Source organism: Homo sapiens, chromosome 2 (assembly GCF_000001405.40).
Source record: "Homo sapiens chromosome 2, GRCh38.p14 Primary Assembly".
Lineage (NCBI taxonomy): Eukaryota > Metazoa > Chordata > Mammalia > Primates > Hominidae > Homo > Homo sapiens.
This window is the reverse complement of record NC_000002.12, coordinates 233,545,451-233,569,819: the sequence shown is the minus strand read 5'-3', so window position 1 is coordinate 233,569,819 and position 24,369 is coordinate 233,545,451. Positions and strand designations below refer to the sequence as shown.

The following is a 24,369-nucleotide window of genomic DNA, read 5'->3' as shown; positions in this document are numbered from 1 at the left end:
TCCTTCTTCTACTATTTGCTTTAGTTTCAATGCCCGTATCATAGAAGGGTCCAAGTTGTAAAAGAAGTCAAAAGCAGTCTTAAATAATCAGAACCCTTCTGCAAGATTGTCTAATGTCAATTCATTTTCTGACAGTGCTTCTTCTATATCTTCTTCCTCATTCTCTGGTACTGATTCAAAAGCACTCATCTCCATCAAGTCATCTTCTGTTAATTCCTCAGATGTGGTATCTATTAACTCTTGAATTTCCCCAAGATCTAGATCTTCAAACACTTTATGCCTCTTTTTTTTTTTTTTGGTGCCATATCCACAATCTCTTCCATGACTTCCTTGATAGGCTGTTGTAAATCCTGTGAACTCACACACAACATCTGGAATCTGGACGCAGTTTTCTTCAGCACTAATGTATTGTTTGGGGCTTGATGGCTTTCACAGCTTTTTCTGTAACAACATGGGCTTCTTCAATGGTGTAATCCTTCTGGACTTTCACGATATTCTCCCTGTTGAGATTCTCTTCCATAGTGTTGACACCCCTTTCCATAGAAAACCGTACGTAATGAGCCTTAAAGTTCCTTATGACCCCTTGATCTAAGGGCTGAATTAGACATGTTGTGTTTAGGGGCAAGGAGGCCACTTTGGTGCTCTCATTGCAGAATCTATGGGGTTCTGGGTGGCCAGGGACATTGTCCAATATCAAAAGCAATTTAAAAGGAAGTCCCTTACTGGCAAGGTACTTCCTGACTTCAGGGACAGAGCATTGGTTTTCATGGAACCAAACCAGAAAAAGTGTTTTCGTTGTACAGGGCTTTTTATCATAAAACAAAAAGACTTGCAGCTGGTGTTTATCTTTTCCCTTAAAGGCTCAGGGATTAGCAGCTTTATAGATGGCACATTTGAAAGCACTTTGGTAAATAGGTGTGTAGTGAGAAATACAGTATGAAAAGAATGTTGGGACCATCAGCGAACTAAGAATCAAAATAAAGAATTTCCACAGTGGATGTTGAGAAATCGTGGAAGCTTCTTTAGCAGAGAGGTTTGAGCTCAAAGTGCACCTTAGATGGATAGTGCATCTTATAGTGACGTGCAGGAAGGGGTGTGTAAAACGGGAGTCCACTGAAAAGGCTATCATCCTAATGCAGGTGAGATTTCATGGGGATCTGATAGGAGGAGAGGAAGCTATGGAATGAAAGGATTGTCCAGACAATACTTTGACATGCCATTAGTTTGATTCACAGACGAAAGACAAAGATATAAGATTATATAAATATAATCTTATATCTTTATAAATGTGACCACTCATTCATTCATATTTATAAGATTATATAACTATAATCTTATATAAGGTTATATAACTATAATCTTATATAAGGTTATATAACTATAATCTTATATAAGGTTATATAACTATAATCTTATATAAGGTTATATAACTATAATCTTATATAAGGTTATATAACTATAATCTTATATAAGGTTATATAACTATAATCTTATATAAGGTTATATAACTATAATCTTATATAAGGTTATATAACTATAATCTTATATAAGGTTATATAACTATAATCTTATATAAGGTTATATAACTATAATCTTATATAAGGTTATATAACTATAATCTTATATAAGGTTATATAACTATAATCTTATATAAGGTTATATAACTATAATCTTATATAAGGTTATATAACTATAATCTTATATAAGGTTATATAACTATAATCTTATATAAGGTTATATAACTATAATCTTATATAAGGTTATATAACTATAATCTTATATAAGGTTATATAACTATAATCTTATATAAGGTTATATAACTATAATCTTATATAAGGTTATATAACTATAATCTTATATAAGGTTATATAACTATAATCTTATATAAGGTTATATAACTATAATCTTATATAAGGTTATATAACTATAATCTTATATAAGGTTATATAACTATAATCTTATATAAGGTTATATAACTATAATCTTATATAAGGTTATATAACTATAATCTTATATAAGGTTATATAACTAATCTTATATAAGGTTATATAACTATAATCTTATATAAGGTTATATAACTATAATCTTATATAAGGTTATATAACTATAATCTTATATAAGGTTATATAGCTATAATCTTATATAAGGTTATATAGCTATAATCTTATATAAGGTTATATAGCTATAATCTTATATAAGGTTATATAGCTATAATCTTATATAAGGTTATATAGCTATAATCTTATATAAGGTTATATAGCTATAATCTTATATAAGGTTATATAGCTATAATCTTATATAAGGTTATATAGCTATAATCTTATATAAGGTTATATAGCTATAATCTTATATAAGGTTATATAGCTATAATCTTATATAAGGTTATATAGCTATAATCTTATATAAGGTTATATAGCTATAATCTTATATAAGGTTATATAGCTATAATCTTATATAAGGTTATATAGCTATAATCTTATATAAGGTTATATAGCTATAATATAGCTATACTCTTATATAAGATCATATAGCTATACTCTTATATAAGATCATATAGCTATACTCTTATATAAGATCATATAGCTATAATCTTATATAAGATCATATAGCTATAATCTTATATAAGATCATATAGCTATAATCTTATATAAGATCATATAGCTATAATCTTATATAAGATCATATAGCTATAATCTTATATAAGATCATATAGCTATAATCTTATATAAGGATCATATAGCTATAATCTTATATAAGATCATATAGCTATAATCTTATATAAGATCATATAGCTATAATCTTATATAAGATCATATAGCTATAATCTTATAAATGTGAACGAATGAGTGGTCCGCTGGCCGAGTGGACCCGCGAACTCACCAGCGGACTTGTAAGCGAGCTCACCTTGCCCGCTCCCGCTCCCGCTCCAGTTCCCAAACTCTTGGAGCAGAAGAGTTACATTTCCCATAAGGCCCCGTGCGAGGGGCCGGCGCTCCAGCGGGGCATCCTGGGAAGCATAGTCCACGATCCATAAATCACTTTCTGGAGACCCGCCCTCGCCAACATGGCGGCGCCCAGTTGGGGCGGGTTCGTTCGCTTCGCGTTTTGGCCAGGGCGGGGGTCTGGGCTTTAGGCAGTAAGTGCGGCTGGCGCCCGGGGATCCTGGGAGGGACGTGGGAAGCGTAGGGACAGTGTTGGTGGCCCAGTCTGAGGAGGGCGAGGCGAGAGGCTGCCCAGGCCTGCCTGAGGACGCGGCGCTCTCCTGGAGTCGGGGCAGTGGTTTCGGGCCACGGGGACCTCTGCCTTTTTGCGCCCCTGGGCCTGTGGTGGCTTGGAGGGCCTCGGCCGGCCGTAGGAGTTGGGAATTCAGGAATGCAGACAACGAGCTCGAGGCTAGACTCTCGAGTTGTGTTTTTTTAGTTTTCTTCTGAGGAAAAGAAAAATAATTGCATTTCAGCGCTTCCTGTCATTTGGTACCTATGCTAGGCGCTTTACGTTTCTCATCTCCAAGTGACCCTCCGCCACACTCGATGTGAAACCTTGGGGAAGTCACCTAGGCCCCCAGGGCTAACGATGGGATTAGTGGATACATACTGGAAGGCCTTTAGGCTTGATAATTTTAGTGGCAGTCTTCCCCGCCCTCCGCTCCCCTTCCCCCCTCCCTCCCCAGTGAACTGACTTCCGGCCCAACAGCTTCGGGACTGTACTAAAGTGCTCTAAAAAAAGTTAACTTGATCTGTTTAATTTAAATGTCATAATCTGGTATATAGTACTGAAGGGTGTGACAAGCAGAGATTTTAGAGAGTTGATTCTCAGAATTTAGGGTTGGCTTTGCCGTCCCAGCAGTGGATTAGTTGTGGCAACAGGTTTTCTTTTTTAAAAAAATTAGTGATGTGAACGTGCCTTTTTAAAAACAGCTGTTACTTATTGTGGGCCAAACCCTGTACACTAACTGCCCTTCTTTCGTTATGTCATTGGATAGTTTAAATGACCCGAAGAGACAGATGGTATCCTATTTTACACATAAGAAAACAGATTAACATATCCAGGGTCACACAGGTAGTTAGGGTCCTGATAGGGATGAAAAAAATCTAGATCTTGCTGCCTCCAAAACCCAACTACTGTACATAGAAACAGTAGTCCTGTGTTCTAAGAAACAACAGAATCGACTCCCAAGTGTAAGGTAGGGGGATTTGGGGAAAATTTATTTTAAAAATAAAAGCATTTATATGTCACTTTTTTTAAGGGTAGTATTTAGTTTCACAATGTTTGGGGACCTGTTTGAAGAGGAGTATTCCACTGTGTCTAATAATCAGTATGGAAAAGGGAAGAAATTAAAGACTAAAGCTTTGGAGCCACCTGCTCCTAGAGAATTCACCAATTTAAGCGGAATCAGAAATCAGGGTGGAACCTGTTACCTCAATTCCCTTCTTCAGACTCTTCATTTCACACCTGAATTCAGAGGTATGCTATGTTACGTACATTTAACTAGCAATATGTACCATCTTCTTTACATGTAATTAATTATGCAAAATCACAAATAGACCAATTATCTTAAAGATATATTCTACAGTATGTGTTTATTGTTGCACATATAAGATATAAATTGGTAATTCCCTCTGCAGAGAAATGTGAAGCTTAATCTTAAATATATCCTGGGTGATGACAATAATGTTTAGTAAAAAAATAAAGCAATATATTTCTTTTTTAATTCCTGTAATTTAAAGTACAACGTAAAGACAATTGTCATAAGTATCAGTCTTCATTATTGTTACACTGTTTGAGTTTTAAGATTTCTCTAGAATAACAAACACTTAAGCCAGAGTTATCCAACCAATTATATCTACCTTTTGGAGTGGGGAAGGGTGTCATATTATTTATATGGGTGCACAGTTGTTCATACGCATTTCTGAAATCTGGAAAGCTCACACCCTCATCTGATCTCACCTGAGCTTGTTTGGCTTCAGAACCAGACCTGGTGTGAGGCTATTTACAGTTTTTAGTTATCTCATGTGGGTGAATGTTCATACATTCATTACAGGAATATTAATCTGCTTGATTAATGGAAGCTGGCCCAGACCCTGCTGGGAATGTAACATTTTATATATATATAAAAAACACTTTTTTCATATTATCTTTATAAACTCTGGAAATTCTGAATTCCAAAGACCCAGAGATTTTAGGTAAGGGATTGTGTGCAAGAAACAGACCCACCACCCAAATTAGCTAAATTTAAAAGGGGGGTTATTGTAAGAATATAGGGGATCTCAGAAATCAACTGCAGGAAGCCAGCCTGACCTTACTGGACCCTTGATTTCTTGCCCCTGTTTCTCTCTATATATTTCTCCCATACCCCATCTCTGCAAACCAGCTTCCTCCACAAGGGTCCTAGGAGCTGTGTTCCCGTGAGCTCAGTGTGAACATTACTTTGCCTTCACCTGGCCCTGACTGGGGTCCCCAGCACTACATGGCTTTGTAGCTCAGCTCTCCACAGTGTCTCCATATTAGGAGGACAGACAGCCTGACTCATCCTATCTGGTTTGCCATGTTCCTCTTCCCTACTGCCACCACATTTATCAAATCTTTGTGGTTCTTCTGTTGCTTCTAAGCTTAGAAAGACTTGCTGCCTCCAGAGATTTAGTAAATATTTACCGCTGTTACCTTCCTAGGAGCAATTTAATGGGTTGGATTGCATGTGGGATTTAAGTGGTACCTCTTAGCCTTGACTCGATCCCCTCCATAAAAATATCTCCCTGATGCAATCAGTAATTCCACCAGTAAAAATTGCCAGCACTAATAAGTACATTTCTAATAGGGATAACACTTTTCCAGGTTTTAATATAGTTGAAGTTAAAGGACAACTCGAAGTAGAAACGTAGCCTCAAAGGGACTGAGGAAGATGGTGAAGTGTAGGGCGGGTCATGGAGCGTACCATTAGGCAAGAGTAGTACTGAGAGTCCCAGGCCAACTTCCTCTCCAGCAGAGGGGATTGCTGGCCAAGCATATGATTTGACATCTTAGTGCACAATGTGCACTGCTTGTATAGCTTAGCCTGAATCCTGATGGTGACTGACAGGGAGGTATAATTTGGAAAGAATAAGGACTGTCAGAGAACTGGCGGGGGAAATTTTGGAATAGTATTTTAAATAATAGGGCTACATTGGGTTCCATTGTACTCCATTACAATGTAGCTGAGAGTACTGGGAGATTATTATAAAAGTTTTTGTATGGTTTTATGCTTTAACTTGTAGATTTGTAGTTCATTTTTGCCGAGTCCCAGCACTTAGAAAGAATATAACATTCATTAACAGTAAGCACTAGGGTAGCAATAGTTTTTCAATAGGGAGACACATTTATCCCATTCCTTGTATCCCTAGAGTATATCAGAGTTTCCCAGTAAGAGTTCCTACCTAGGCTCGGATACAGACTTCTCAAAAGATTCAGGTATGCCCCATTGGGTGGCACATCACCTAGATGTTGGGTGATAAAGAAATTCTGGAGACTCGCATGGGGTTGCCAACTTCTTTTTCCAGATAAGACCACTGCCATCTGTTATTACCTTCAACACGGAAAAGACATTTTCACACCAAAAAAAAGGGCATCTCAGAGTAAAAGAGGATCCTTCCCACGAAAGGATGTTTGTTAGCCTTACATGTGGCAGGAAAACTGCAACACTACTGTATTTCCTGAGATTCTTGGGCTTTTGGGACCTGATGCCATAGACAGTGGGAAGCCATGAAAGATTTCTGATGTTACTGTTTTTAGTTTTATGCATAAAGATTATTTTCCTTTCCTAGAATTAGGAAATGCTGAAGCCTTAGCATGACACTATTTTCTTAGAGTCACTGGTTAAAAATGTTACAAGAAAGTAAAGTGTATAGAGTAAGGTATAAATATTGCCACAATCATATTTCTGAATCTACTTGATTTTACTTAAAGGTGGTCTTGGCTTTCTAAAACAATTTTTTAAAATGAAATGATGTCATTTGCATCTCTGATTCTACCTTTTTCTTTAGAAGCTCTATTTTCTCTTGGCCCAGAAGAGCTTGGTTTGTTTGAAGATAAGGATAAACCCGATGCAAAGGTATTTTTATTATTATTATTATTATACTTTAAGTTTTAGGGTACATGTGCACAATGTGCAGGTTAGTTACATATGTATACATGTGCCATGCTGGTGCGCTGCACCCACTAACTCATCATCTAGCATTAGGTATACCTCCCAATGCTATCCCTCCCCCCTCCCCCCAACCCACAACAGTCCCCAGAGTGTGATGTTCCCCTTCCTGTGTCCATGTGTTCTCATTGTTCAATTCCCACCTACGAGTGAGAATATGTGGTGTTTGGTTTTTTGTTCTTGCGATAGTTTACTGAGAATGATGATTTCCAATTTCATCCATGTCCCTACAAAGGACATGAACTCATCATTTTTTATGGCTGCATAGTATTCCATGGTGTATATGTGCCACAGTTTCTTAATCCAGTCTATCATTGTTGGACATTTGGGTTGGTTCCAAGTCTTTGCTATTGTGAATAATGCCACAATAAACATACGTGTGCATGTGTCTTTATAGCAGCATGATTTATAGTCCTTTGGGTATATACCCAGTAATGGGATGGCTGGGTCAAATGGTATTTCTAGTTCTAGATCCCTGAGGAATCGCCACACTGACTTCCACAATGGTTGAACTACAGTCCCACCAACAGTGTAAAAGTGTTCCTATTTCTCCACATCCTCTCCAGCACCTGTTGTTTCCTGACTTTTTAATGATTGCCATTCTAACTGGTGTGAGGTGGTATCTCATTGTGGTTTTGATTTGCATTTCTCTGATGGCCAGTGATGATGAGCATTTTTTCATGTGTTTTTTGGCTGCATAAATGTCTTCTTTTGAGAAGTGTCTGTTCATGTCCTTCGCCCACTTTTTGATGGGGTTGTTTGTTTTTTTCTTGTAAATTTGTTTGAGTTCATTGTAGATTCTGGATATTAGCCCTTTTGTCAGATGAGTAGGTTGCGAAAATTTTCTCCCATTTTGTAGGTTGCCTGTTCACTCTGATGGTAGTTTCTTTTGCTGTGCAGAAGCTCTTTAGTTTAATTAGATCCCATTTGTCAATTTTGTCTTTGGTTGCCATTGCTTTTGGTGTTTTAGACATGAAGTCCTTACCCATGCGTATGTCCTGAATGGTAATGCCTAGGTTTTCTTCTAGGGTTTTTATGGTTTTAGGTCTAACGTTTAAGTCTTTAATCCATCTTGAATTGATTTTTGTATAAGGTGTAAGGAAGGGATCCAGTTTCAGCTTTCTACATATGGCTAGCCAGTTTTCCCAGCACCATTTATTAAATAGGGAATCCTTTCCCCATTGCTTGTTTTTCTCAGGTTTGTCAAAGATCAGATAGTTGTAGATATGTGGCATTATTTGTGAGGGCTCTGTTCTGTTGCATTGATCTATATCTCTGTTTTGGTACCAGTACCATGCTGTTTTGGTTACTGTACCCTTGTAGTATAGTTTGAAGTCAGGTAGTGTGATGCCTCCAGCTTTGTTCTTTTGGCTTAGGATTGACTTGGCGATGCGGGCTCTTTTTTGGTTCCATATGAACTTTATTTTCTCTTGGCCCAGAAGAGCTTGGTTTGTTTGAAGATAAGGATAAACCCGATGCAAAGGTATTACATCTATGATTTACTGGGGTGTTTTAGCGTATTCAGAAAATTTTTTTTAAAGAAGGAATTAAGTGGCTTGTTCACAAAGCAATAATTTTATTAATTATCAAATATGCTCTTTATTTCCAGAAAGTGACTTGGCCTATACCCTATGGGTAATGGAATTTGCCTTCCGAGAAAGAATCAGTTTTCCAAGTACAATACTGCTACTGCTTTATAAACATGTAACACTCTTTACTATGCTTATTCTTTCTTCTGGTGAAGGAAATATTTGCAGAACATCCACATTAGCTTCCCCCAGAAGTCTATTTAAAGCACTTTTTTTGCAACAATACCGACCTCTCCACCCCACACAAAAAAAAATAGAGGCTAGTATTCTTTCAATTTGGTACTCTGGAAATAAATTGAGTAATGAGTTAATTATTTTGTTTGTTATTGTGGTGATATTTAAAGTGCATATCTAATCATGTTCCTCCCTGCTTAAACATAACTCAAAAGTTTCTTACCATGTTCAGGCTCAAATTTGTACTTCTTAGGAGTCTTTCATGATCTAGCCCAGTACTTCTCAGGCTACCTGTGTGGCAAAGGACCTGTTTTTGTGTATTTCTTTTTATTCCCAATCTGTTGCAGATTAGCACTTTTCTAGTATATAATAAAAATGCCATGGGAATGTCAAATTGCCATTACAATTTCTAAATGCTTATTCTCCTTTAAATACTTAAAGTCTAGCCTACAGACCAGACTCTGAGCAACATTGCTCAGTCTGCCCCAGCCCTCACCACATCAAGTAAGGCAGGAACTCACTTGGAGCCAGGAGAAAGTGAGGCAGGGTGTGCTGAGAACTCCAGAGCGAGATACAGTATTGTGCCTGGAAAATTTCTACAGAGGGGAAATTGTGTGTATCAGAGGTATTTTAGAGAAATAATGGACTATTAGAAGAGATTCAAACTACTGTCAATCTGTAATCAGTTGAGTGGTTTATTAAGGCCTATTTGAGTTTTAATGTTTGTCTGAACCATATCAAGGTAGAAAACTCCAAATAACTATTATTTTTTAGATTGCATTATAATTTTCACAGAAGAACTGAATCATAATTAGTTTTTCCCTTATAATAGGATATTTATAAACTTTCTCCTGAATGAACTGGGAGATATAAAAAAGCTAGTATGCAGTTGTTTTCAAAAGCCTTAGTCAACACTTAAAGAATTCATTTAGAAATGTGTTTGTTTCTCATTCAGGTTCGAATCATCCCTTTACAGTTACAGCGCTTGTTTGCTCAGCTTCTGCTCTTAGACCAGGAAGCTGCATCCACAGCAGACCTCACTGACAGCTTTGGGTGGACCAGTAATGAGGTACGAGGATCAGCTCTTTAAGGAAGAGTTACCAGCAATAGAGGAAAGAATAAGGCTGGTTTAATGTTATCTAACTTCCTTTAATTTTGTCTTAGGGTCTCAACATATTGTTTGAATGTTTCCTTCTCACATTAAAAAATTACAAGCCAGAAATATATATTTTTAGACACTTGCTGTATACAGGATTTTATGAATGGCTGTGATTTGGGGCTGGGGAGAAGATTGGAAAAACGGGGAGAAGTACAAGAGCTGATTTTTACAATTTCTACCCTAAGAGTCTTTATGTAGTCTAGTTGAGATACAACACCGATTACATGGAGATTACCTACCATTTATATAGGAAACTGTTGATCAGTTTTTTAGTCTTTGACCAACAATAATGGATCAATTACATTGTAAGTAAATTTTTAAAAATTCTTTGTTTGTTATGTGCTTTGTGTTTGAATCCACATGTTCTGATTTGAAGGTTTGCTTCAGTCAAAAAAGTGAAATGGTTCTTGGCAGGTCTTTTTATTCCTGTCCTGACTTTCTCCTGACCTTCTCCATTTTCTTTATGAATCTTGTTGTATGTGGGCTTTCTCTCACTTTCCTGTTTGAGTTCTAAAAGGCATTCTACTGTATACGAACACTACACACTTGTCAGCAATGAGTAAAGGTGCTTGTTGCACATATTGATGAGCTGTTATAGCTATACAAATCCAAACAAATCCCAGTCTACCATTTTTATATGGAATAGATGGATGTAATCCTGCAAAGACAGGTATAGGCAACTGTCACAGAAGTTAAAGAGCAAACGATAGGAATACTGTTATATTGCCTTTAATGGTAAACTCTGAAGGGTAGTCTTCTAACCAGGAACACTTCTTAACTAGGTGATACTAACTATGTGATTAAGGAGGTAAGGCATGGACTTTCAAGCAAAATGGGGTATAATACATTCCCTAAACAAGTATGTTAAATTTCTGGTGTAGGGCTGGTATTTGGCGTTAATCCGATTAACAACAAAAACAAACAAACAAAAAAAACACTGTATTGAGATGTAATTTACATGCCACAGAATTCACTCTTTTAAGTGGTACAGTTCAGTGGTGCTTTCTAGCATATTCACAGAGTTGTTCAACCATCACTACAATCAATTTTAGAAAATTTTTACCACCCCAAAAAGAAACTCCATACCCGTTAGCAGTAACTTTCCATCCCCCTCAACTCAGCCGCTGGCAACCACTGACCTCCTTTCTGTCTCTATGAATTTGCCTATTCTGGACATTTCATAGAAATGGAGTGATCCAATAGGTGGTCTCGTAACAGTCTTCTTTCACTTAAAGTACTGTTCTCAGGGTTCATTCATGTTGTAGTATGTGTCGATACTTCATTCCATTTTATTGCCAAATGAGATTCTATTAGATGGATATGCCACATGTTTTTTGTTTTTTTTTTTTAATCTAGTCATTGGTTGATAGATTTTTCTTTGTTTTTGATAATGAGCTTCACTAAGTTGCTGGTTTCTTCTTAATGCTGTGAAAATTTTTTTTGTTTTTTGTCTAAATAAGATCTTGCAGAAAACCCTCTAGGACTGGACCTGCAGTGGTAGGAGAAGGTCTCTGTGGTACCTTTGCGAAGTGTAGGATTGTTTAGGAACAGAGCTTGAAAACTTCCACAAGTTTTCTATCCCATCATAGCCAGTGATATTAGATAAATTACATCCTTGAGGGTCTTGTATTTTAAAAGGCAAGATAGAAGTCCTCCAGCTTTCATCCACTTTATCTGCTGCTCTTCACACAAAACTTTTTTTTTTTTTTTTTTTTTTTTGAGATGAGGTCTCACTGTCACCAGCCTGGAGTGCAATGGCATGATCATAGCTCACTGCAGCCCTGGGTTCAAGGCATCCTGCTGCCTCGGCCTCCCAGGTAGCTGAGATTTTAGGCATGAGCTATTGCTCTTGGTTGAAACTTATTTTTGAAATTGTCTTCCCTTATTGCCTCTGCTTCTGAACTCTCCATTTGTTCCTCTCCTTCCTTTCTACTTTTTTGGTTGAAGTCAACAGTGACATCCCTGTGCCAAGTCCAGAAGACACTTCTCTGTTCTCAGCAGAAGGAGCTCTCAGCAGCACTCACCACCCTCCTTAAAGCCTCAGCTCCTCCTGCTTCCTGGGGCCTCACTCTCCTGGCCCTCCCCCCAGCTGCTCTTCCTCCTCTTCTCCACTTCTCAGTCTTGGTGTGCCCCTTGGTTTGGTTATAAATTTTTCTTAAGCACAAGTTCACACACAACTGCGTGACTCATAATGGATTAAAGCAAGTTCCATCAGGATTTTTTTCTCAGTAACACTGTGTTAGTCTTGTTTTAGTTGTTTTTACTTCAAAGCAGTACATTCTAGTTCTTTTCTATTGTTGATAATTCGGACTATTCACATGTGCTCTGATCTCAGTGAGGTGTTCCTGTGCAGACACTGCCAGCTCTTAGACACTGGTCTGTGCCTGGTATATCCCTCTCTGCTTTCTGTGGCATGGCCATGTGTGTGGTTTCCCACAAGAATAAATGCACATTCTGGGTGTCAAAGGAATTGAGTTACATGTACACACTGAACCCAGCCTGTTCATATTTTCATTTTTTAGTATAAATAAAAATAGGTGGTAATCTCTTAACCAGCTCAGCTTGTTTTGCTGAGTCATTCTTATATCTGATCTTCAGATTGCTTGATAAATCTTGAGTTTTTATTGACTAATGTTTGTTTTTTTAATGTTTTAAAAAATCTGAAGCCCGGAATTACATCTAAAAGTTACCTGTTTTGTAGGAAATGAGGCAACATGATGTGCAGGAACTGAATCGAATCCTCTTCAGCGCTTTGGAAACTTCTTTAGTTGGGACCTCCGGTCATGACCTCATCTATCGTCTGTACCATGGAACCATTGTTAACCAGATTGTTTGTAAAGAATGTAAGAACGTTAGCGAGAGGCAGGTAAATATGCCAGAGTATTTTAGTAATAAGTTATGTTGTAAATTATAATCCATGTAATTAAATGTATGATATATACCACACAAGGATTAAAGTGTTTATTACTAAAAGTAATTTATTGAGTTTTTTTTTCTTCTAACTACACCTAAATCATGAGCCTATAATCCAGATTTCTCCATGTAGATTGAAAGAAGCAAATATCTTGAAACTTAATCTTTTATTCAGTACCCTAATATTTGGAAAATAGATTTGGGGGATATTTACAAATAGAAGACTGTGGCCTCATGTGAGAAGCCAGTGTCATCATGGTTGGAATATTGTAAAGAAAGTTAATTAGGGAGGTAATAAAAATAGATAATACTGAGGACCAAGGAGTGTTTAATTTGACAAACATTTGTAATTAAATATGGGATTTAGTTTATTAATATTCTTCAGAAAGTTCATTTATATATGTGTGCTTATGTTTATATATTATATATAAAGCTATTGTAATCCTATGTTAATTAGTATAACCTTCAGTTCTTTGTAATGACACATATTGCCCATTTAATCTAATTGGAAATTAGAAATTGGAAATTTGCTCATGTAAATGTAATCCTGTTTGCCCTACAAATCTTATATAGTCAATTATCACTGAATTCATCACTGATCCTTTAATAAAAGGCTGCTTTTGTTATTTATGCCAAGGAAGTTTGTGTATTTGTATCAGGACAAAATTACCATTTTCTTTTTTTTTTTTTTTGAGATGGAGTCTTGCTTTGTCGCCCAGGCTGGAGTGCAGTGGCACGATCTCAGCTCACTGCAAGTTCCACCTCCCGGGTTCACGCCATTCTCCTGCCTTAGCCTCCCGAGTAGCTGGGACTACAGGTGCCCGCCACCATGCCTGGCTAATTTTTTGTATTTTTTTAGTAGAGACGGGGTTTCACCATGTTAGCCAGGATGGTCTCGATCTCCTGACCTCATGATCTGCCCACCTTGGCCTCCCAAAGTGCTGGGATTACAGGCATGAGCCACCGCGCCTGGCCCAAAATTAGCATTTTCAAAGGTGTTAATTGCTTTCTTGAAAATAGATGTGTATATAAAAATATGTGATTTTCAGGATGCTGAGGCAGGAGAATCGCTTGAACCCGGGAGGTGGAGGTTGCAGTGACCTGAGATTGCGCCACTGTGCTCCAGCCTGGTGGCAGAGCAAGGCTCCGTCTCAAAAAAAAAAAAAAAAAAGAGTGATTTTTTAAGTTTGGAAATAATTAAGATGTTGCGTGTGTCTTTGAATTACTACATGCTTGACTTAGCTATGATGTAGTAAATCAGAGTATTTTCAAAACAACATATGTAAGGCCATTATAAATTAAAGACATTAACTTTTCACGTATATATTATAAACCATATACTGTATAAATGTTACTTTTGGTACTTGAAATCTTCACCATGAGTTAACAAGTGCCCTATTTTCATTCCCCAAAATCTCTTAAAATAAAGCTGTTGCACACACATACAGAACTATAAATATAAATTAAATTTGCCAAATTGTAAGTGCTTATTACTAGAAATATTGTGATTCAAATGTAGTTATAGCAGATTTCATAAACCCTCTTTTTACAGACTATTCTCTTGGATTTTCATAGGAAGACCTTCTTATCCTAGCTTAACGTAATTCTTTTTTTTGAGATGGAGTCTCACTCTGTTGCCCAGGCTGGAGTGCAGTGGCGCAATCTCGGCTCACTGCGACCTCCGCCTCCCAGGTTCAAGCAATTCTCCTGCCTCAGCCTCCCCAGTAGCTGGGACTACAGGCATGCACCACCACACCCAGCTAATTTTTTTTGTATTTTTAGTAGAGATAGGGTTTCACCATATTGGCCAGGCTGGCCATATAATTTTTTTTTCTTATAACTTCTTTAGTATATCTTAAGGCAACCCTAGCAAAAGAAAATAAAGAAATGGAGTTTACATTAGAAAATTCAACCCTGCCCTTGCTCTTATAGTCTAGTCTAAAACAGTACTGTATACCTTGTATATATGCACTTCTGAATTCAGATACGTGTCTTATTGTGGTTTATATTTCCTCATAAAACAGATTTTATTGTATCTTTGGTAAATTCATAAACTTTTCTTATATTTTTCTGATAGATTTTAAGCTAAATTATAGTTCAATTTCAAAAGAAGGATAATTTAGTGTTATGAACTTCACAACATCTAATCAGGAGATCTACATCTTTATTTGTAATGTTTTAGAAAACATATATCTGATTATTCCCAATATATATGTGAGTTGATGATGTGTTTGTAAACCTCTGAAATTGTTTTTCAATATTATATTCATGTCTATTTCAGGAAGACTTCTTAGATCTAACAGTAGCAGTCAAAAATGTATCCGGTTTGGAAGATGCTCTCTGGAACATGTATGTAGAAGAGGAAGTTTTTGATTGTGACAACTTGTACCACTGTGGAACTTGTGACAGGCTGGTTAAAGCAGCAAAGGTAAAGACAGATAACTGCTTTTTCCCAGGGTCCCCACTTTGTAGTTAGTACAAGTCAACTTGTATGAAAAAGTCTCGAGGATATACTTGAAGCTGTTGACACTAAGGATTGAAAAGATATTTACATCATTTTCTGTATTTTAATTTTTTACAATAATGAATTTTTAAGGCTTTCAACCCAACAGTTCACCCAACTTCCTTTTCTCCGGGGAAAACTTTATTGTACCTCAGTGTTTCGTAAGTATCCCTCCTTTTTGCAATTACTGCTGTGAAAAAAGTTGTATATATTTTTATTTCTGTCACTGAGAAGCTTGTTGAGCTTTGCTTTCTTTACTACTATGAAAGTAGATGGCTGTCTTCATTTTCTTAATATACAGTTATTTTATAATCTTGACATATGTTCTTCCTCACTCTGGCAAATCCAATATAGCCTTACCTCCTCCCCCAGGTGGGAGTATTTAACTTGCTAATTAAGGAATTTAACAGAATACTTCTGATTTTCTTTCTGTACAGTCAAGCAAAATATAAGACAAAAGAAAGTCAGGACTGAAGCAACTGATATCTTTTGCCATGTGAGAGCTAAGAGGGAAAAGTAAAACAAACCAATAAACAGAATTCTGACATTTCTCAAATTTATTCATCACATTCATATATCAGTAGCCATTCCTGTAGTATAATTCATAGTTATTTTCCATTCCAGGAAAGAAGAGATACTTTGATAAGAGGAGAAATGAGAGGCAACTACTGTTTAGCTTAGTGGAACACCTCCCTGGTGTTATTTTCATGCATCTTAAGTTTTGCACATTCCAGCTCCTTTCTGATATGGCAGGGATTTATTATATCAGCACTTTGGCATTTCTGAAAATCCCTCTGCCACATATTGGTGTTTTATCCCAGTACTGATGTGAGGTCTGTCTCTGTGCTTTACTGTCCAAGCCCTTTGGGTCCAGGATATCTATTTGTTCTAAGGGAGATGGACATCTGAATAACTCTTTTTGGAGGACAGATTTTTAAAAAATGTTTTGTGGGTTTTTTTCCCATTTTATCTTCTAGCAGCCATTCATTTATATTTCCTTTTCACAATTCTCTGTGATTTCTCACTATGGAATTGTTCTTTAATGTATTTTTCACACACTTAATTTCCACCAAAAGCATTACCAATGCTAGTTAATTGCTAAATACTAGTAATTCATTAACATTAATATAAAAATGATTATTATAGATAAATGTATCTATGTCTATGTATGTATATTAATACCATTTCCTGTGGCCTGGATGTGCTGTCTCTAACCTTCTCTGTCCCTTCCTTCTCAGCTTCTATGGCATCAACCCTGCTGCTGTCGTTATTATCTGCAGTGGTGACGTTCCCACTGCTGTGGGTGATGTGATGAGCTTTTCATAAACATCATCACCTTGAGCTCAGTTCACTCAGTGGGTTACTGAACATTGTCTTAAACAGCTACCACAAGAGACATATTTATGCGGTCACTTCATTATGATAGCACTATTCCTATAGCTGACAATTATTGAATTTTTCCAGCAAATAAAATGAGCATTGATTTAGATAATACACAATACTGATTTTGTATCCTGGAGATTATAGATAAAACTATAATAAAACCTTAAACCCTGTGCCTGTAGCTTTCACGGGAAGATTGAATTTTATACTGTTTCACATGTATTTCCATCCAGTTTTTGCCCCTTCATCAAACCCAAAGAGAGAGGTTTATCATTTGCTTATTTATTTTGTATTTCACTTTGGTGTATAAACTTCAGAGTTTGGAACAGTGTTGGAAAGATACCTACACATTCAGCTTTTGGTTAGACTTCATGTTCACATTACAAAATAAGAACCTTTTGCTAAACAAATGCAGTTTTTAAATATACCTTTTATCACATTTCTTTAATTCTTTTTCAGTGGAAGTTTTTTGGTCTTGATACTTCTAAATTTATATTCTATTCTATGCATTGGATTTGTTGCATTCTAAGTTTATGTTTGGCTGTACTGCTAAATAAATGCAGATTTTCTTGTCCTAAGCAGTCTTTTCTCAGCCACATTATAGTTGAATTACTCAGTTTTTTTAGATGCATTTTTAGAGCTTGTTTGAAAATCTACCATGTTGTTATATTGCTGGGGTTTTTTGTTTTTTTTTTTTCATTCAACTTTTTTTTTTACCCACTAGATTTGTGAAACTGTTTTTTAAAATATATTTTTAGCACTGTTAGATATATATGATTATGGGTAATTTTATATATCAAGGAGGATTTTTTTTCTCCTCACAGACCAATAATCCAAGAGGTTGGGCACAGCTGATACTCTTAAAAAGCAGCTTAATCCCAATCAATAGATCTTAGCCCTTGGGGAAGTTAGAGGCCTTTTGCAAGTCTCATGAAAGCTATGAATCTTCTCCTCAGAAAAATACATATGCATGTATAATTTTTGTATCATTTCAGATCCTTTAAAACAGGTTCCTAGGTCCCAGGTTAAGAGCTCCAGTTCTTCACTGATTAAAAAGAACTGTAGACCTGCCAGGTAAAGTGGAGACACCAAGGATGAAGGTGAAAGGCCAGAAATTGGGCAGGAAATAGGCACCACTCATCAAATAGTATTTCAGGATATCAACATTAAAGATAAAACCGGGTTGTAAATTATTAATTGTAAGCACAAATGAGTGGCTCCACCTTTAGACCCATAAAATAGATGAGTTGACATCGAGTTATGTTGAATCCATGGTAATGAGTTTATGTAATATTTCTCTTAGAACTGTGTCATAGGTTGTTTTTTCAGACCTTAAGAAACATTATGTATCCTTTTATATAACCCTGTTTTTAAAAAGCTTTGTAAATTTTTCTTTTAACAGTCGGCCAAATTACGTAAGCTGCCTCCTTTTCTTACTGTTTCATTACTAAGATTTAATTTTGATTTTGTGAAATGCGAACGCTACAAGGAAACTAGCTGTTATACATTCCCTCTCCGGATTAATCTCAAGCCCTTTTGTGAACAGGTTTGAACTATTTTATTTTTAAATTCTTTCTTTTCCCCTCTCAAGATTGAATCTATTATTGACCCGATTTTCAGTTGGTTTATTGTGAGAATCTCTAAACCTTGGCACCATTGACATTTTCAGTTAAACTATTCTTTGTTGTGGGAGACTGTCTCATGCATTAGGGTGTTTAGCAGCATCCCTGCCCTCTACCTACTGGATGACAGTAGCAGCCTCACTCCCCCTCTCTCAGTTGTGACAACCAAAACTGTCTTCAGACAAAGCCAAATATGTCTCCTGCGAGGACAGCGTGGGCAAGATTGACCCTGTTTGAGAACCACTGATTTATTTAGAGTCATTTTGAATTTCCAAAGTATAGATTTATTCCCAGTTCTTTTTATTAAACCCTTCTTTAAAATATTTGGAATGAAAATTTAAGAACAAAATTAGAAGTTTACCCTGCATTTAGAAAACTCACCATTAATTGGTACCACTAATTTGGATTTAGTTTATTTTACATGTAATGATGAATTTATGCATCTAGAAAGTCAAGAGGCAAATGGAAATTCACTAGTCTAGAATCTGTAATCCTTAAGACATAGGGAAAGAAAAGGTTTTGAAAACAAATTAATTACAAAATCAACCTACTTTGTAAGCCATTTAAAAATGTTTTTTATAACATTGCTGTACATACCAAGGTCTGGGTGAAAAGAGTAATTATTTCTTATCACAAATCATTCTTATATGTTTATTCAGAATAGAACATTTATTAGCTAGCTATTGAGTTTCTGTGTAAAAAAAGTAATCTTTTTCTAAACATTCTTAAATTCGGGATCTTCACAAATGGGCCTTCCTTTACTTCAAGCCAAATTGCTGAGCTTTTTGGGGTTTTTTTTTTTGTTGTTTGAATTACCACTCAAAGGTTCTAATATTCTGTTGCCCCTGAGGCTATTATTGACGTAACCAAATAAATAATTTTCCCAGAGTTAGTTAATATAATTGTTTCTTGTTTTATAAAAGATAGTTTGTCACATGATTTTTAACATACTTTGATGTAACAAAACTGAAATAATTGAAGAAATTGAGCACTTATATAGGAAGTCCACATTCATTTTACTTTTGGATTTCTGTATTAATGGAAAAAAGTCACTTGGCATCTTTGTGTACACCTTGTCTTTTGCCTGTACTAGACATTTTAAAATGCTGCCCACTTAAAAAGTTTAATATTTTAAGCAAATAAATTATTAAAATAACTGACACCCATCAAGCGGCCACCATATGTACATCTGAACATCACAGATGAGCACTGACTTGAGTTTAGACGTCAAAGCCAGAAGAGAGCTTATATCATGTAGTTTTAGAGCCCTCAGATGTGAAAAAGGCTTCTTTTTTCTTCTGCATCAGAAATTTAAATAAACATCTTTAAAGTATCTCTTAATCTAAATTAGCTTTTTATTTTATTTTGTTTCTAATTGCTAGTGTGGGAGTACATCTGTTTGATCACTCATGATTATGGAGCATATTAATTATAGAAAATGTTGATCATAGAATTAATAAAACAAGAAAGAACCTCTTCCACTAAACTGCCTCTAAACAAAAACAGTTGATAGTCATAATTAGTAAGTTCCTATTCTATACAGAGGACTGTAGTGTCAGGAGGGGTGATAGTTGATCTGGCTTTGACTTTGAGGCACATGACAACCTAGTTGAAATAGAGGACAATTTCAACTAGATATATATCAATAAAAAAAGGGGATGCATTTTAAAAGAAGAGTGCATCTATAAAGCAGCGTAAATAGGTATTGTACGAAGATGGGTTTCTCTTGCTAAAAATTTCTACAACAGACTCACTGATAGGGTAACATATTTCATTGTTTTATTGGCTTACATGATCTTAGCCAAAGTACATAAAAGTAACGTATTTTTCAGGTACTTGTGTTCATGGTCAACTAAGAGGCAGAATTTGATTGGTGTAGTGTGACTGGCCATTAGATCAATTAATTTAAAAATTTTAAATTTAAAGCCAATTACTTGAATTCATCTTTACTCTTAAATAACAAACAGTGAAGTTTCTTATTAATTTCAGTAGTTGAAATTATTTTTTCTTTTGATTATTATCAGCATTTTATGAAAACTATATCAATATTTTTGTTCTTTTTTCTTTTAGAGTGAATTGGATGACTTAGAATATATATATGACCTCTTCTCAGTTATTATACACAAAGGTGGCTGCTACGGAGGCCATTACCATGTATATATTAAAGATGTTGATCATTTGGGAAACTGGCAGTTTCAAGTACGTATAGAAATTCGTTTAGAAATATCTTTGCAATTTCTTTTCTATTCCTATTATTTTGTTGAGGAAATTTTGTTTACCATTTATTATATATCCACTCTATAGAAAACTTTGATAGGCACTGAAAGTTAATACAGATACAAGTTTTAAATTTTTATTTCTAAATAATTTCACACATACAGAAAAATTACCAGAATAGTAAAAACACCTCCTGTATACCCTTTACCTAGATTCTCTAATTGTTAACATTTTGCCACATTTGTGCATGTGCATACACAGACACACATTATTAACGTTATCATTATTAGTGCGAACCGTTTGAAATTAAGTTGAAGACACCAGGTCCCTTTACCACTGAATACTTGAGTGTTTATCTTCTAAAACCAAGGATGTTATCTTACGTGAGCATTGATTAAAATAAGGAACTTCTAACATTGATATAATACTGTTGTCTAATAGTTATGTTCAGATTCCACCAGTTTTCCAGTTCACATCCTTCATGGCAATTTTTCCCCCACTCTAGTGTCAAATCCAGTGTCAAGCATGGTATTTAGTTAGCTAACTCTCCTGTAATCTGGAACCATTCCTTAGCTATACAGTTACTCCATTATCATAAAGAGACAGCACAATTCCTATAGCTGACAATTATTGAATTTTTTCTGAAAAATAAAATGAGCATTGATTTAGATAACACACAATATTAATTTTGTATCCTGCAGATGGCAGGTGAACATGTGATAAAAACAATAAATCCCGTGTCTGTAGCTTTCACAATAGGATTTAAAACCAGGGTGAATTTTGTCCTGTTTATTATGCATAGTCATGTCTTTCATGGTTGCTCTTTGAAACAGTGCTCAATAACCACTGATTGAATTACATTTAAAACTTTGATCTTCCTAGAATGGTTTCCTATGAGAGGTGTAAGAAGGATTTTTTTCCACTTGAAAAAATTACCTATTTCTATTTATTGAGTAATCAATTTTTCTCTACCAATGTACTATGCCAGTTCTGTTATGTCTACTCTTCATTTTTGTGTGAGTCTGTTTTTCAGCTCTCTATTCTATTCCATTGTTCATTTTTTTCTATTCCTGGGCAAATACCACATTGTCAATTTCCATAGCTTTGTAATAAGTCTTGATCTCTGGTAGGACAAGTCTCCCTACATGCTGTCATTCTTCAGGAGTGTGGGACCTGTCTTCATTTTTTATGCTTCTGTGTACATTTCTAGAATCACCTTGTCAGTAATCTCACAGATACACATGTGTGTGCACATACACATATACACACACATACTCAGTGGGATTTCCTGTCTTCATATGTGCACAAGATATACATTTTCATTTTCTAAAGTCCCTTTAATGTCTTATTAAAAAGTTTTATAATATTTCTCAAAAAAAGAATTTGCAGATGTTCTGAGGGAAAGTGCTAACCGGTGTCTAGTTCCCAAGAAATTATAATCTATTACACATCAACCCCAGACACAGTAAAACGTCTATAAGTAAGTCACAAACCGTAATGTTAGGATGTAAAATGCTTAAAGCATAGCTTCCTGTTATCAGAAAGTTAATGCTGTTGTTGACGAATACTTGCTCCACATTTACTTGTAATACGGCATCTCGTGGTGCCAGCAGTATCCAAGATGCACAGTCCCTTTGATGACACTCAGCCAGCTTTTCAAAGTGTTCGTCTGTATTTCTGACATTCTATCAGTTGTATTTGGAACGTATTGAGAGATACATGTTCTGTAAAGTTTGGATATGAAAAAAGTCAAACTGTGTTCTACCAGGAACATGTTTACCAGGGAGATGATCTATGCCTAAATTTTGTGTTTTCTGGAGTGTTTGTGGCTGATGTATTGAAATGTAACTTTCTTTAGTATGTTGATTTTATATACCAAAATATATAAAATATTAAACAATTTATACACTAACAACCAATAATCTTGCTAAACACTCATGTTGAAGTCATCTATGGAAAAAGACAGTTTTGTTTTACCTGTCCAAATCCTTTGCCTTCCATTTCTTTTGCTTACTGCAGTGAATGGAACTCCCATTCTGGCTTGGGAAAGCTGTACAAGCATTGCTCTCAAATGCTTGTGTCACATTTGCCAAGATACCAGCTTGCCGGGCACCTTCCCAATTAGAGGAAGTTAAACACTTGTTATCCTCATCTACTGTGTTTCGGCCCTTACTGTTACCATGTTTAATTTGAGCCAATCCTTATCGTGTTGTTATACCTTCCCTCAAACTACCTTCTTGTATTTTTAGTTTCCCACAGTAGAGAATCCTTAAGAAAGTGGCCTTCTCACTCCGCCTTAAACTCCCCTTATCTTATCAAATAGGCTTTATTTTGCTCTCTCTTTAAGATGAAGCCTTTCATTAGATTCTGATCGAAGCTTGTCCATGTCTGGTAAGTGTTTATTATGGTGTTCATTTTTTTTGCCTTGCCCATTCCCATTGCAGTTCGTGGCTCTTTTCTTCCAGTTGTGCCTCCACCTTTTGTGACCTTTTTCAATATTGCCGTGTCTCTCTTCAGTCTTAGGAAGTGCTCCCAGCCTCTGTGCCAGCCCAGGTTCCACCTCAGGGAGTATGCCCCTACATTCCTTGATGCCTGCTACAGTTTTTGCTCAGCCAGTTTGAAGATTTGAGGTATTTTTCTAGCTGGCAATATTTATCCTCAGTTTTTTGATGCATAAAATATCTGTTTGCAATTTCATCTTCAGGTTTATCACTGAGGTCATGTACAAAGGCAGTTTCACACTCTGGTGAGGCAGCATGTTTTGAGAGTAGTGATTTCTCTCTTCCTTGAATTTCTTTTGGGTTGTGGTTTCCTGGACATCTCTTTTGGAGTTTTGTGCTCATTTCTTCAGAATTGATCAGCTTCTTTCTAGCAGCATCAGGATCTCTTCCCAGTTCTGTGACATGACTCAAAGGGCAGGCAGGCATTCCTTCATGTGGCTTCAGTCTCTGCACTGCCTGTCCATTTTTGAAGCTCTAACACCTTAGCAAGGTCTTCCTCAGGACTTAGAGAACAATAGAATATTGTGCTTGGTATGTTTTCTTGTTAATGGCTATCAAGCATCCCATTTGTTATTTTTTTTTCTTATTGTTCTGTTGTTTAAGAATCACTAGCTTTTCATCCAGAACTTCATGGTGTTCAGATAATGATTTTGTGCTTTAAGAATTTCACCTGCAGTAGATATATCTGGTGGACACTGTGCTTGTCTCTTTACTACCATTATCCTGACAGATCCCCTGTGCCCACAGACAAAGGGTCCCAAATATTCTAATCGTAGCCAGGTAGTGTTCTTTCCACTTACAGTTCAGCAATTACTTCTTCCCTTTGAAGGAGCTGTGCCCTGCATACATGGAGTTCTTTAGTAGGTACTGCCTGTAAGGAGTAGTTTTCAGGACCAATCTCGTGTAATTTTCTCTGGGTTAAAGCCAACATTTTAGTCTCTCTTAGTGTGCCTGGAAGATGATCCCTTTCTTCTAGCATGGAGGCCACTAACTGCAAAATGTGAATGTAGATCTGGCTATAAAGAGGAGCCTGATCCATGCCACCAGCTTCCTGGGGGGACTTTGGCTTCACAGATGGTTGGCATCATTTGGAACATCATCTTGCACATTTGAGGAAGTGGGGCAAAGAAG

The 24,369-nt window shown here is 36.2% G+C and overlaps 1 protein-coding gene and 1 pseudogene across 24 annotated transcripts in view; one reads left to right on the top strand and one right to left on the bottom strand.

The window, feature by feature from the left end:
• Nucleotides 1–3,037: 3,037 nt before the first annotated feature.
• Nucleotides 3,038–24,369, top strand: part of USP40 (ubiquitin specific peptidase 40) — a 91,257-nt gene continuing 69,925 nt past the window's right edge. For 11 of the 24 annotated variants that reach the window (NR_168052.1, NR_168053.1, NR_168051.1 and 8 more), the window contains exons 1-8: nt 3,038–3,136; nt 4,247–4,464; nt 7,017–7,084; nt 9,896–10,009; nt 12,801–12,965; nt 15,294–15,440; nt 18,301–18,444; nt 20,591–20,719. Coding sequence is in view for 18 of the 24 variants with exons in the window: in NM_018218.4 (NP_060688.2) it covers nt 4,266–4,464; nt 7,017–7,084; nt 9,896–10,009; nt 12,801–12,965; nt 15,294–15,440; nt 18,301–18,444; nt 20,591–20,719 (966 nt within the window). In the remaining 6 variants the exon portion in view is untranslated. Of the gene's footprint in view, nt 3,474–4,246; nt 4,465–7,016; nt 7,085–8,553; nt 8,661–8,786; nt 9,078–9,895; nt 10,010–12,800; nt 12,966–15,293; nt 15,441–15,608; nt 15,677–18,300; nt 18,445–20,590; nt 20,720–24,369 lie in introns of those variants that run through there. The other 13 variants (XM_011511398.4, XM_047444892.1, XM_011511401.3 and 10 more) reach the window with 8 other exon arrangements.
• PPFIA1P1 (PPFIA1 pseudogene 1) lies at nt 22,878–24,338 on the bottom strand (annotated as a pseudogene).